Source organism: Homo sapiens, chromosome 6, assembly GCF_000001405.40.
Source record: "Homo sapiens chromosome 6, GRCh38.p14 Primary Assembly".
Lineage (NCBI taxonomy): Eukaryota > Metazoa > Chordata > Mammalia > Primates > Hominidae > Homo > Homo sapiens.
In genome coordinates this window covers 170716613-170732300 of record NC_000006.12, presented here as the reverse complement: position 1 = coordinate 170732300, position 15688 = coordinate 170716613, and the positions used below count along the sequence as shown (strand labels likewise).

The 15688-nt window shown below is 49.0% G+C and overlaps 1 long non-coding RNA gene across 1 annotated transcript in view; it reads right to left on the bottom strand.

Annotated features, from left to right (window-relative positions):
• Positions 1 to 3804: 3804 nt before the first annotated feature.
• Positions 3805 to 15688, bottom strand: part of LOC101929692 (uncharacterized) — a 115831-nt gene continuing 103947 nt past the window's right edge. The window contains exons 4-5 of the long non-coding RNA NR_171670.1: positions 10816 to 10995; positions 3805 to 4370 (exon numbers count right to left, since the gene is read on the bottom strand). This is a non-coding gene — a long non-coding RNA (uncharacterized LOC101929692). The remainder of the gene's footprint in view (positions 4371 to 10815; positions 10996 to 15688) is intronic.

Here is a 15688-nt window from a genome sequence, read left to right as displayed (position 1 = left end):
TCCCAGCACTTTGGGAGGCCAAAGCAGGGGGATCACAAGGTCAGGAGTTTGAGACCAGCCTGGCCAACATGATGAAACCCCATCTCTACTAAAAATATAAAAAATTAGCCAGGCGTGGTGGTGCGACCCTGTAATCCCAGCTACTTGGGAGACTGAGGCAGGAGAATCACTGGAACACAGGAGGTGGAGATTGCGGTGAGCGGAGAGTGCACCATTGCACTCCAGCCTGGGTGACAGAGCAAGACTCCACCTTAAAAAATAAATAAATAAATAAAAGTTGGCCGGGCGCGGTGTCTCACACCTGTAATCCCAGCACTTTGGGAGGTGGAGGCGGGCGGATCACAAGGTCAGGAGATCGAGACCATCCTGGCCAACATGGTGAAATCCCGTCTCTACTAAAATACAAAAAATTAGCTGGGCGTGGTGGTGCGCACCTATAAATCCCAGCTACTCGGGAGGCTGAGGCAGGGGAATCGCTTAAACACAGGAACCCGGGAGGCAGAGGTTGCAGTGAGCCAAGATCACACCACTGCACACCAGCCTAGTGACAGAGCAAGACTCCATCTCCAAAAACAAACAAACAAACAAAAAACACCTAAAAGTAAAACTGCTGTATGATCCAGTAATTTCACTAACTGGGCATATAGTCAAAAGAAACAAAATCAATATATCGTAAAGACATCTGCACTCTCATGTTTACTGCGGGACTACTCACAATCGCCAAAATACGGAATCAGCCTCTGAGTTCATCAGCGGATGATGGATAAACAGAACGTGGTGTGGATACACAGTGGAATATTCTTCAGCCATACAGAGGAATGACAGCCTGTTATTTGTACAAGACGGAACTAGGGATCATTATGTTAAGTGAAATAAGCCAAGCACAGAAAGACAAACATTGAATGTTCTCACCCACCTACTAAAAAAGTAGCTCTCGTGAAGACAGAGGGTAGATGCGTGGTTACCAGAGGTGGGGAAATGTAGCGGGGAGAGGGGGAGAAAGAGAAGTTGATTAAAGGGTACAAATACGTGGTTTGATAGAAGGAATAAGACGGGCCGGGTGCGGTGGCTCACGCCTGTAATCCCAGCACTTTGGGAGGCCGAGGTGGGCGGATCACGAGGTCAGAAGATCGAGACCATCCTGGCTAACACGGTGAAACCCCGTCTCTACTAAAAATACAAAAAATTAGCCGGGCGTGGTGGCGGGCGCCTGTAGTCCCAGCTACTCGGGAGGCTGAGGCAGGAGAATGGCGTGAACCCGGGAGGCGGAGCTTGCAGTGAGCCGAGATCGCGCCACCGCACTCCAGCCTGGGCGACAGAGTGAGACTCCGTCTCAAAAAAAAAAAAAAAAAAAAAAAAAAAAAAGAAGGAATAAGACCTAGTGTTACATAGATCATAGTTGACAATTGCCTACTGTATATTTCAAAATAGCTAGGAGAGAAGAATCGGAACGGTTCTAGCATAAAGCAAAAACAAATATTTAAGGCGATAGATATTCCAAGTAGGCTGATTTGATTTTCACAATTATATAAATGCATTAAACTATCACATGTACCCTGAAACTATGTACATCTATTATGCATCAATAAAAAAGAAAAAAGAAACAAGAACTTAGATTTTAAACTCAGCACTCTCCTAGTGGGCTCCTTAAAAATATTTTTGTTTGGGAGGACAAAGTAGGAGGATTCCTTGAGCCCGGGAGCTTGAGGCTGCAGTGAGATCGTGCCACTGCACTCCAGCCTGAGCGACAGAGAGATACACTGGCTCTAAATATAAATAATATAAATATATATTTATGGAATAAATAAATGAATAAAATATCTTTGCATGCTGGTGAGCCCAGGGTACAGTCCGCCCTTGGCAGCTCGGTGACACAGCCAAGGCAGCTGAACAATCCTCGCCCACTAGACAGTGGAGGTCGCCCTCCAGAGGACCTTATCAGATGTACGTGCAAAGCAGTTTTCAAGACAGTTTTCTATTCAGAGTGTGGTTTGGCCGTTCAGGGAGAGAGATCACAAAGGAAAACCACCTTTAGGAAAGCAGGTGAGAAAGGTGTAAGTTCCCAGGCTTGGGGGTCCTGGCCCAGCCTAGCTGTGGGCAACCCCGGGAAGGCTGAGCCCCGCAGGCTGTATGGACAAAGCATCTCGCTTTCCACACTGGCCACAGGTCTATCCCTGGCAGTAAACAGGTCACAGGTGGGCAGCAGGTCTAACACCTGTAGCGAAAGAACGCAGGAGAGGAACTGAGGCTCTGCTACCAGCAGATGCTCCAAGCACATCCCACGGGGAGGACCATGCACAACTCAGCTGGCCACAACCAGGAAAAGGGTGTCCAGGGCCTCAGAGCTGCTTCAGTGGGGCCATTTCCAGGCTCCCAAGCAGTAATGTGGGTGCCCTCTCAAGAACAGAAGCGGAACAGCCTAACGCTAATGTTTGGGAAGAAGAGAACAGTGATCCCCCTGGTTACCTCCCATCTCTCTCTGCAGTTCTCATGCATCTGTGCACACACGCTCACACACACATATGTCCATCAATCCACTCACAATGTTTGACTTAAAGCAGAAACCATATAAAGGGCAGGATAAGGAGAAAAGACGAAAGGAACTGAAAAGATGCAAACAGCCACTAACACGCCAATTTGCACCTTGCACAGGGCCTGGGAAGTAATGACACGGCTTCTCGTTATGCATCAATGATCTCATGTTTTCATTTTAACAAACACCCTAATACAAAAATAGGCTTTATAGGGAGGAGAGAAAATATGTTTTATAGGGAGGAGAGAAAAGCCATTCTGAAGAGCTGGATAGGTTGCCTTTGGCCCACATGGAGTCAGCCCCCTGCCCACGCCACCAGGCTCACGTTCAGGGCCCTGGCTGGAGAAACCTGAGCTGCAGGACCCGCTGCCCACCAATGCAGAAGAGAAGGCAGTATGCTTTTTGCATTGGGTGGAACAAAAACAGAAGAAATGGGAATTTGGTGAGAAATAAGGGAGGTGGTCCTCAGAATCTGCAGAGCAGTGGCTTCCAAACTCTGTGATGCAACCCCAGCCAGAAAAACACTTTACATCATGGCTGAGGGCACATACATGCACGCACATATGCACAATACAGGAAATCTGGAATACAGAAAGCCCTGGAATTCCTAAATAACATCCTGCCCACATGGGAATTCTGCCCTAGCTGATGGCTTCTCCGAGGCCTAGGCCCAAATCCACACCTGCTGTTTAGCCCAGAGCCAAGCCTAGGAGTGTAGGGTCCCCTATGCATGGGTGTCCAACCCCATCCCTGTCCGGAATAGCACGGGTGCTTCTCGGTGCCACAAATGTTGGTGGCGGCTGGGGAGGAGTGGTTCCTCCAAGGCTCCATGCCTGCCTCCACCACTGAGGCCAGCACGGTGGGACTGGGCTAGGGAGACAGGCAGGCTGGCCTACCCACTGAAGGAGCCAGTCTGCTTCCACCTAGTCAGCAGCTCCAGGGAGCGCATCTCCCTCCAGGAAGGGCAGGAGGCCAAGAGGAGCTGGAAAGGTGGGCATTTGATATCATGAGGTATAAAGAGAGCTCCTAGGGGTCCCAGACATCAACTAATAAAAGCACCTCAGAAGTTCATAGATGGGGAAATAGCTGTGTGAATATACCGTGTTATCCAAGTCATGCGGAGAGGAAGGGCTCGAACCCATGGCTACTACTCCCCACCCCCGTCCTCCTCCTCCTCTTTCCATTAAGTTTTTGTGATTATGAAAGTAGCTTACATTTGGTGTAGAAAATATGGAACATATGGAAAAATTTAAAAAGACTCAGGCAAAGGGTCATGTGTCACTTATGACCAGAGGCCCTTGCTCTTTATTAACAGATGGAAATGTTTTCTTCCAAATTGTGCTGCACGTTTTTGGCGAGAGCATGGGGCTGTGCGGCGTCCCCTCCCTGGTGCCCACCTGTGCCCTGCACACTGGCCTGCACTGTGGTGATCTCGCTTGGCCCCCACCTGATTCCCGACATACAGCAGAGGAAGCTTAGGCTCAGGTGGAACAGCCTCAACTGATTCTGTCCCTGAACTTCCGTACACAGCCCTGGAGTCGTCTTAGAGCCATGATTTATTTAACTGTTCTTTCATTTTACAGAACATAAAATGTATTGTTTCCAACTTTTTTCCTATGGTAAATAATACTAAAGTACATATCTCTGTGCATGAATCTTTTTGTATATGTTGGAATATCCTTAAGATAAGGCCCCAGAACTAAAAGTACCCTGTCAAAAGGTGAGCATTTCCGGTTCCCCTGCTGTGCTTTGCTGCGTTGTTCTCTCCTGCTGCAACGTTCTCACTCCACAATCCTGGGGCAGGGAGGGGAGGCCCAGCTGAGTTTGGATCATAATCCTGAAAGACACAATCCCAAGCACCATAATGTGGAATGTTGAAATCCCTAAAGATCAAAATCCCTCAAGTCTAAAATCCCTGATATTTCAGATGACCACAGCTACAGGGCTAGGTGCACACAATTAGTAACCGTAGCGATATACGTGTACACGTTTCTCTTTTGACTTATTTCTTTATGGTCTGTCTTCTTATAACTGCTACACCCATGCCGCCGTCGTTAGTTACCTCAGTGTTTATGCAAAAATACCTGTTATCATTGCCTATTTTATTGTGTAAAGTGGCCTATGAAATGTTCTGTTGTGTTTTTATGTTTCTCAAATACATACCTTTTAAAAATGTAAATAAATAACATCGACATTATTTTTTCCAGATTTATACTTTTGGGATTTTGATCTTTGGGATTTCAGGATGAGGTATTCGGAGCTGTGTCTTTGGGGATGATGACTGGCTCCTGTGCCGTCCCACCCATCTTTGCGGCATGGGACCTTGGCATCCCCACCTCGGCCCTGGCTCTACCTGACCTCACAATGGACCAGGCCAACTCAGTCAATGTGGAGGCAGCATCAGGTAGACCTGGGGCTGAAACTCAACACTGGTGTTCACCTTGACCTAGCTTCTCTGAGCCTCAAGTTCCTCATCCGGACACCAGTGGGGTTAGGGGCTGAGGCACATCAGCACTAAGCAGGAGAGCTCATCGTTGCCATGCATCAGCTGTGGCTCTAGAGCCGAGACGCTCCCAGCCGTGTAGGCTTCCCAGCAGTGCAGGCCCCTCTCTAGAGCTGAGATGCTCCCGGCAGTGCAGGCCCCTCTCTAGAGCCGAGACGCTCCCAGCCGTGTAGGCCCCTCTAGAGCCAAGACGCTGCAGGGTTAATCAGGGCTGCCCAACAGTCCATCCCCTCTTCTCTCTCTGAAATCAAGAAACATTCCGAATTCCAAAATGCAACTGGTCCCAAGTGTTTCAGTTAAGGGACTGTGGCCCTGTGTAATGCCAGGCAGTGACAAGGACTGTGACTGGGAGCCATCGTAAGTCGATGCTGAATGCCAAAGGGAGGAAAGGAGGCAGCGGTCCTTAAAGGGCCCACTGAGCTCAGATCCCACGCCTGAGCCTCCGCCTCTCCGTGCAGTCCCGGAGATGGCACACAGCCTTCTGCACGAACCGCAATGAGCTGGGCTCCCTCATCACCGCTAGGAGCACTCTGAGAAAGCAGGGCCATTCCACGGGGTTCTGCAGGAGAACGGCGAAGGGTGCTGTTCAACCTGCTCAGTCAGTTGCTAGGTGAGGAGAATTTAGTATTCATAAGTGAAAATTTCTAAGTTACTGGAATTAATTATGGGGTTTGATTCTACATCATCCAGAAAAGCCTGGATGCCACACAGACTCAATGCTGAAAGCTCCCAGTGCACCTGCACAAACACACCCACACATGCACCCATATCATATACACACGTGCAAACATGTTCACATTCACACTCACTCCTACATACTCGGATCATATACACATTTGTGCACACGTGTTCATATTCACACTCCTACACACCCAGATCATACACACATACACACACTTGTGCATACACATTCATGCTCACTCCCACACACCCAGATCATATACACACTCGTGCACACAAGCTCACATTCACAATCACTCATACCCAGATCATACACACACTTATGCACACATTCACACTCACTCATACATACACAGATCATATACATACTTGCGCATACGTGTTCGTATTCACACTCCTACACACCCAGATCATACACACATACACACACTTGTGCATACACATTCATGCTCACTCCTACACACCCAGATCATATATACACTCGTGCACACATGTTCACATTCATGCTCACTCATACACACCGATTGTACACTCGTGCACACATTCACACTCATACACACCCAAATCATATATTCATGCACACATGTTCACATTCATGCTCACTCATACACACCCAGATCATATATACACTCGTGCACACATTCACACTCATACACACCCAAATCATACTCACATTCATGCACACATGTTCACTCATGCTCACTCATACACACCCAGATCATATATACACTCGTGCACACATGTTCACATTCACTCATACACAGCCCAAAATATACACATTAATGCACACAATACATATTCATACTTGCACACACCCAAATCATATACCCACTCACACACACATGTTCACATTCACACTCATACACACTCAGATCATAAATACATATGTACACATTCACATTCATACCCCCAAATCATACGCACACTAGTGTATACATGTACACACTCACACACACAAATCATACACACTCATACACACAGTCATACACACTCACACATACCCCCAAATCATACACACACTCATGCACACCGTCACACATATAATCCAAACACACAAAAATATATGCATGCGCTCATACACAATCTCACACATACATATACAGCCATGTGGGATTTTTCTGCCATTTTCAGAAATGTAAATTTTGTAGTTCCTGCTTTTTAAAGACTATAAATTATTTTTAATTTACCTTCATTCTCAATTTTGTTTGTTATAAGTAGCTTGATTGTCATACAGCATCCAACGACGCATATTTCCTTTATTTTTTTTGAGATGGAGTCTTGCTCTGTCACCCAGGCTGGAGTGCAGGGGTGCGATCTCGGCTCACTGCAACCTCTGCCTCCCGGGTTCAAGTGATTCTCCTGCCTCAGCCTCCCGAGTAGCTGGGATTACAGATGCCCATCACCACGCCCAGCTAATTTTTGTATTCTTAGTAGAGACGGGGTTTCACCATGTTGGCTAGGCTGGTCTTGAACTCCTGACCTCATGATCCACCTGCCTCGGCCTCCCAAAGTGCTGGGATTACAGGTGCGAGCCACCGTGCTCTGCATATTTTCATGTTAAAAATGTTTTATTTAAAAAAAAAAAAAAGATGTCCAGAAGAGTTGCAAAGACAGTACTGCAACTTCCCACAGACCCGTTCACCAGCTTCCTCTCACTTGAGCATCTTACACAGCAATGATGCACGTGTAGAAACTGCGACACTCACACGGGTGCCATCTCAGCAGCTCACGGTGTAGAAACTGCGACACTCACACGGGTGCCATCTCAGCAGCTCACGGTGTGGAAACTGCGACACTCACACGGGTGCCGTCTCAGCAGCTCACGGTGTGGAAACTGCGACACTCACGCGGGTGCCGTCTCAGCAGCTCACGGTGTGGAAACTGCGACACTCACGCGGGTGCCGTCTCAGCAGCTCACGGTGTGGAAACTGCGACACTCACGCGGGTGCCGTCTCAGCAGCTCACGGTGTGGAAACTGCGACACTCACGCGGGTGCCGTCTCAGCAGCTCACGGTGTGGAAACTGCGACACTCACGCGGGTGCCGTCTCAGCAGCTCACGGTGTGGAAACTGCGACACTCACGCGGGTGCCGTCTCAGCAGCTCACGGTGTGGAAACTGCGACACTCACGCGGGTGCCGTCTCAGCAGCTCACGGTGTGGAAACTGCGACACTCACGCGGGTGCCGTCTCAGCAGCTCACGGTGTGGAAACTGCGACACTCACGCGGGTGCCGTCTCAGCAGCTCACGGTGTGGAAACTGCGACACTCACGCGGGTGCCGTCTCAGCAGCTCACGGTGTGGAAACTGCGACACTCACGCGGGTGCCATCTCAGCAGCTCACGCCCAGGACCCCAGAGGCTGCACTGGCCCTCACGCCTCCTTAGTCCCCTGCACCGGTGACCCTTTCCTGGCCTGTCTTCGTTTCACTGCCTTGACAGCTTTGCAGAGTGCTGCTCAGGTATTCTGCAAGATGCCCCTCAATTGGTGTGTGTGTGATGTTCTCTCTGATTACATTGGAACTGTGCGTTTGCGGAAGAACACGGCGGAGGTGGAGCGCTCTTCTCATCACGTGCTCTCAGGGGCCACGATGTCAACATGCCTCATCACTGGTGGTCTGGACCTTGATCACACGGCCAAGGTGAGGCCTGCCAGGTCTCCCCACGGGAGAGTGACTGTTTTCCTCTCCATGTCCTGCTGGTTAAGAGTGAGTCATGAAGTCCAGCATGAGCTCCAACTCCCACAGGAAGGAGCATCAAAGAATTTGGGCACCGCGGTAATTACTGAACATTTAGGGGAGACACTTTGACAGTATACAAATATCTTCTTTCTCCTTAAACTTTGCACAGGAATTTTAGCATTCCTCAGGGGAGCTTGCCTGCAGCACTGATGGTGATTTTCTTTTTTTTCTTTTCTTTTCTTTCTTTCTTTCTTTTTTTTGAGACAGAGTTTTGCTCTTATTGCCCAGGCTGGAGTGCAGTGGCACAATCTCAGCTCACTGCAACCTCCCGGGTTCAAGCGATTCTCCTGCCTCAGCCTCCCAAGTAGCTGAGATTACAGGCATGTGTCACCAGGCCCAGCTAATTTTGTATTTTTTTGTAGAGACAGGGTTTCACCATGTTGCCTAGGCTGGTCTCGAACTCCTGACCTCAGGTGATCCACCTGCCTCAGCCTCCCGAAGTGTTGAGATTACAGGCACGAGCCACTGTGCCCAGCCTGATGGTGATTTTCCCTATTTACTCCACATTTCTTGTTTGGAATTTGTTCCAAGAAAGGCCTGTCCCTTTCAGTTTTTTGTTTTGTTTTGTTTTTGAGACAGAGTCTTGCTCTGTCACCCCAGCTGGAGTGCATTGGCGTGATCTTGGCTCACTGCAAGCTCCACCTCCTGGGCTCACACCATTCTCCTGCCTCAGCCTCCCGAGTAGCTGGGACTACAGGCGCTCGCCACCTCGCCCGGCTACCCTTTCAGTTTTAATTTATTCAATAATTTATTTATATGCTTACAAATCCATGGACATTCATTTTATTCTTTGGGGCATAATCCGATTTGTGTGTGTGTGTGTGTATGTCTGTGTGAGTGTGTGTGCACTCAAATCATTGTAGCTGTGGCCACTGGGAGCTCTTACATTTTGGGTTCCATGCCCTTTTGAAATGCCCACAGCTTTTTAAAAATTTTATTTTTGAGCATTTTCTTACTTCCTGGGACTACAAGATGCTCCAGGTTCATCTTGTATTTTCTCTCCCACATCCCAATTATCAGCCATTTCTCCAGGGAGACTTGGCTCCTTTTATTGAAGATGAAATTTAGAAACTAACATCTGGGCATGGAATGTGCTTGCTGCTACTGGGGTGTCCCCTCTCAAAGGACAAACCCAGGATCTACAGATGTGTGTGCTAAGCCATGTATGCACACGCATGTGTGTGTGTATATATTTAACCTATCTGTATATATGTATTATGTAAACATGAGTTCCTGCTGGCATATCTGACTATAACTGACCACCTCAGGGTCCATTCTGATCTGTATATATGTATCATGTAAACACGACTTCCTACTGGCATATCTGACTGTAACCGACCACCTCAGGGTCCATTCTGATCTGTATATATGTATCATGTAAACATGATTTCCTACTGGCATATCTGACTATAACTGACCACCTCAGGGTTCATTCCGATCTGTATATAAGTATCATGTAAACACGAGTTCCTGCTGGCATATCTGACTGTAACCGACCACCTCAGGGTCCATTCTGATCTGTATATATGTATCATGTAAACACGAGTTCCTGCTGGCATATCTGACTATAACCGACCACCTCAGGGTCCATTCTGATCTGTATATATGTATCATGTAAACATGAGTTCCTACTGGCATATCTGACTATAACTGACCACCTCAGGGTCCATTCTGATCTGTATGTATGTATCATGTAAACACGAGTTCCTACTGGCATATCTGACTATAACTGACCACCTCAGGGTCCATTCCGATCTGTATATAAGTATCATGTAAACACGAGTTCCTGCTGGCATATCTGACTGTAACCGACCACCTCAGGGTCCATTCTGATCTGTATATATGTATCATGTAAACACGAGTTCCTGCTGGCATATCTGACTATAACTGACCACCTCAGGGTCCATTCTGATCTGTATATATGTATAATATATATTATATATGGACCTCAGGGTCCATTCTGATCTGCATATATGTATAATATATATTATATATGGACCTCAGGGTCCATTCTGATCTGTATATATGTATCATGTAAACATGAGTTCCTGCTGGCATATCTGTCTATAACCGACCACCTTAGGGTCCATTCTGATCTGTATATATGTATAATATATATTATATATGGACCTCAGGGTCCCCGCTGGCTTTTCCATGACTTCCTTATCCAGCTGTGAGAACCCTGACTCTTACTACTGTATTGACTTATTTGTGAAACCTTAGTATATATAAAAGTAGTTTCAAAGTTGCTAACATGTATTGCTGTGGGAAACAATTTTACCAATTGGAGTTTAGTGCTTAGATATGCAGAGTTATTTGATTCTTTCCAGAATCTAATCAAAACACTGTTTTTGGACTTACCCAGGTCAGCTCCTTTCTGCCCACTCTTTCAGCGCAGGCGTGTCCTGCTGTGGAACACACTCTGGGATTCCTGTGTGGGTCTGTACCCATCCTGTACCCGTCAGGACCCCCGGGCCCTGACTCTTGATGTTGTTCTTGCTCCTCTTGTTGATCTTGTTGTTCCCACAGTGAGGTCCAGTCCTGTGGGGTTTGACAAGCACAGCATCACGTACCCAACTCTGTAGAGCCACACAGAAGACTTTCATCCCTCAAAAATGGCCCCAGTTCGGCCCCTCGGTAGTAAACTCCTCTCCCCTCACTCACCCACTGGCAAATACTGATCTGTTTCTGTCCCGATAATTGTGTCTTTCCATATACACAAAAGTGAAGTCTGAGGGTGAGGCCCATGGCCTTGGGAAGCAGGCATAAGTTGGCGGGGGTGGGCATACAGGGTCACCGCGGAAGAAGATCCATGCTGCCCACACAGCCACATGTGGGACAGGGCAGGACCAGCCCCCCAAGCTGTGAACCTCGCCCGAGGCTATGCCCCACTCTGGAGCAGAACGGCCTCTGCAGAGCTTCCACCATGCACATAGGCTGTGCACAGCCAGGCCAGGAAGGGGAGGGCCCCTGTCTGCAGAGACAGGCCCATCCTGGACAGGAGGGAACAGCATTCCAGGCAGATCCGCCACTGGCTGCTGTTCCCAGAGTGGCTGTGTCCCCTCTGCAGCGTCCATGCCCAGCCGGCCTCCCCTGCCTCCCTCTGCAGCTGTCCACGCCCAGCCAGCCTCCCTGCCTCCCTCTGCAGCTGTCGCTCTCCACCCTCCTCTCCTTTCTTCTCTCCATCCCCCCTCCATCCCCGTCTCCTTTCTCCTCTCCATCCCCCTCTCCATCCCCCTCTCCATCTCCCTCTCCTTTCTCCTCTCTAGCCCCCTCTCCTTTCTCCTCTCTATCCCCCTCTCCTTTCTCCCTCTCCATCCCCCTCTCCTTTCTCCTCTCCATCCCCCTCTCCTTTCTCCCTCTCCATCCCCCTCTCCTTTCTTCATGGCTCTTTCCCTTTCCTGCCACAACTGAACTGAGTGCAGGTGATTTTCGCTGCCTGCTGGCTTTATTCAGCTTCAACTTCTTGACTTTAAAGGTGGATGCAGGAAATGTGTGTCTTGTGTCACACATGGAAATGTTGCTGAAATAAGTTACTCTTCACTGATGTGGCCTCGAGGGTTTTCTGCTGGGTTTCTGGACCTTGTAAGCAAAGCAGACCCTCACCCGACTGACCTCCTGGCTGTGACGATGTGTGTTTCTATCCCACACAGGGAGGGTGTTTATGGTCTGAAGTGAGGCCTCTCATTAACTCCTCAAGAGTCGATTGAAGCACAATTTATTAGAGCCCAGAAATCATGGCAATCCATTCCCACAAGCACACAGCACAGCTAAACCAGCTCCAAGGAGGGTCCGAGTGTCCACAACTGCACCCCAGGCCCATTGTGCCTGCCGCTGGAGAGTGTGGGGCCCCTTGGCCCCTAAAGGTTTGCTGAGAAGTCACTGACATGAGACAGATGGATTAATAGGAGAAACAGTATGCAAATTTATGTGATGTGTACATATAAGAACCTTTAGAACGAAGACCCAACGATGGGGGAAATTGTCCATTTTTATGTTTAGGTTTAATAACGTATGAACAGTCCTCTAAAAAAAGGATTGGACACAAAGGGCTTGATCTAATGTGAATAGACTGAGTGGGAACCCAGCAAGGTCTGTCTAGATTTGTCTTCATCTCTGAGCATTTTCTTCTCTGGACGTGGGGCAGGGCCCTCTCTGGAATGACAGTCTCATGACCTACAGTCAAACAAGGGATGTTGGATCATTTCTCTCTAGTCAGCTCTTATATAGAAAGGTAGACGGAAAACTGAGTAATATTTTTAGGTTTTCTGACCAGCTTTGGGGAGAAGGGGTTCTGATTTCTGTGACCGGCCTTGGGGAAAAAGAGAGTCTGGTTTCTACAGTGCCTTCGGGGAGAATGAGACTGAGAGACAGGAGGGCAGGAGAAGGTCAGAGACAACTTTTGCTTCTGAGGCTGCTGCTGAGGACTTCATTTTGGGGCGTTGTTTTCTGAGCCCCAACAGAAGGAAGGAAGCCTCTCCCTCCAGGGGTCAGTCCTGGGCCTCAAGGGCACCCTCGAAGCAGGCAGCTCAGCTCACAGAGCTCCCCTCGGCCATGTCCTCCACCTGCCCTTCCTTGGTCCAGCACCTCACCTGCACACACCTGTCTGGAGAGTCCCCAAGGTTGGAGAGCTGCTGAGTCAGCTGGGCCGAGCACACAGCGCAACACTTCCTTGTGCCTCCTAACCAGGATGGGTGACACCAGCCCATTTTATGGATGGGACAAGAAGAAGCTGGGCTGACAAGCCCAACATAGTGGAGCCAGCAACAGGCTTTTACTCTCCTCTCTGTCTCTTTGTCTCTCTCCCCCACCGCACCTCCATCCGCTCCATTCTCCTCTCTTCACATCAGCTTCCCAGACAATATTCTTGGTTTCTGTGGCTCCCAAACTGAAGCTTCCCCACAGTGGCTGCAACTATCCAGACCTGGGGCCACACTTGGGCCTCCAGGCAGGGGATCTAGTGATCACATTCTGGTCATGTCATCAGGCCAACTTGGCTGAGCTCTGCCCTCCTTATCTCTCCTCTCCCCTCGAGCCCTCACCCTGGTTACCTGCACAAGTAAACTTGCCCCTAACTGACCCCCTTTTCTCCATCCATGTCCCTCAATACAACACTAACTCTGGCAAAAAAGACCAGCCTGGCCAGGTGCGGTGGCTCACGCCTGTAATCCCAGCACTTTGGGAGGCCGAGGCGGGCAGATCACAAGGTCAGGACATCAAGACCATCCTGGCTAACACGGTGAAACCCCGTCTCTACTAAAAATACAAAAAATTAGCTGGGCATGGTGGCAGGCACCTGTAGTCCCAGCTACGCGCGAGGCTGAGGCAGGAGAATGGCGTGAACCCGGGAGGCGGTGCTTGCAGTGAGCCGAGATCGCGCCACTGCACTCCAGCCTGGGCGACAGCGAGACTCCGTCTCAAAAAAAAAAAAAAAAAAAGACCAGCCTGAAGCAGAGATTGGGTCCCAGCCTGGCTCTGCCTGGCCCTCTGCTCCCGCTTCACCTCACAGACAGAACGCTGCCCTGTGGAGGGGTCCCCGGACCCTTTGGTGGGTGCCAAGCGGGTATGGAGGCCAAGGCCTGAGTGGTGAGAATAGTCCAGGGGCTAGCGCTGCGTGGGGAGGGCGAGCTCAGAGAGCAGGGGAGCCTGACCCTGCAGGTCAAGACTTCTGTCTGAGAGAAATGAAAAGCTGGGGATTTTAAGCAAAGGAATGCCTTGACCCAACCCTCACAACTTACATAATAATTAACTTAAAAGGAATCATAAGTTTAAACAGAAAATCTATATAACAGGTTTACAGTTTAATTTAAAAACTATAATAGGTTTATAGTTTTTAAATTAAAATTTTAAATATAGTGGTTTATAAAACTTTGAGAAGAAACCATAAAATCCCTATGAATGCTGCAAAAGTCACTGTTGAGAGAATGAAAACACAAGACATAGAGTTGGAGAAAATATTTGTGAATCTCATATCTGGCAAAGGAATTGTATCTAGAATACATAAAGAACTCTCAAAATCCAACAGTAAAAACACCAAATAATCCAGTTACAAACCGGGGAAGGATTTGAACAGATGCGTCACCAAGCAAGGGATATGGATGGGAAATAAGCTTCCATCAGCCACCAGGGAGATGCAAATTACAGCCACTAGGAAACGCTTTTCATTCATTCCGGGATGGCTGAAATGTAAGCACGGAAAATGCTGGGTGCCCGCAAGAACGCGGAGCAGCAGGCACTCATTCCCGATTAGCGGGAGCGCAAAGCGAAGGGGCGGCCTGCGGTGTTTTCCTGTAAAGTTGGGCACACGCTTCCCACATGACTCAGCAATTGCACTTCTGGGTATGTACCCGAGAGAAACAAAAGCTTATGTTCACACAAAAACCTACAACGCAAATGCACAAACAGCTCTATCCAACAACCATCCCACCCTGGAAGCAACCCAAACACGCTTCAGCGGCACAGGCGCCTCCACGCGGAACCCCACGCGGCGCTCAGCACGGACGAGGAGGGAGCCGCGCACGCGCGGTCGGCTCGGCGAGGAGCCGGTCTCCAAGTGCCGCCAGGTGCGGGATTTCCTCTGCAAAAGACAAACCACAGGGAGAGCTGCCGGGGCTGGGTCGGGGAGTGTGACTGTGAACGGAGTTCTGGGGGTGATGTAACTGTTCTGTATCCACAGTGTTGCTACATGAATCTATAAATGTGTTAAACTCATAGAACTGTACACCAAAAAATAGCAGTTTTGCTGAATGTTAATTCAGAAATGAAATTAAAATTTTAAATTAACAACAAGCAACTTTACAAGAGAAAAAAAAAAAACCTCATTTCCTCCCCACAAAGCCACCTCATGAGCCTGGGTGGTGCCTAGCCAGTCCTGCTGCTGAACCTGCTCTGACCTGGCCTAAGGGTAGGACTCGAGGCTGGGAGCCAAGGGCCAACCACAGGACAGGCAGCAAGACCCGCTTCGCTGGTCTGTCACACACACCGCACCAAGTCTGTGCTCAGGATAAACCGGGGCACACTCTGAGCTGGGCCTGTCTCCGGCTTCAACCAAAAAGCCTGAGCTCTGGCAGGTGAAGGACCAGACGTTTCTGTGGGGCTATGGACTTGTCTGGGAGGCAGCCACCTCTAAGCCACCCAGGATGGTTTCGGTTGTGTTTGGATGGAGTTCTGAGTTTTGCCAGTTAAAATTCCCCCTTCAGGAGCTCTCTATGGGGTTAAAGTGCAAGATTTGGGG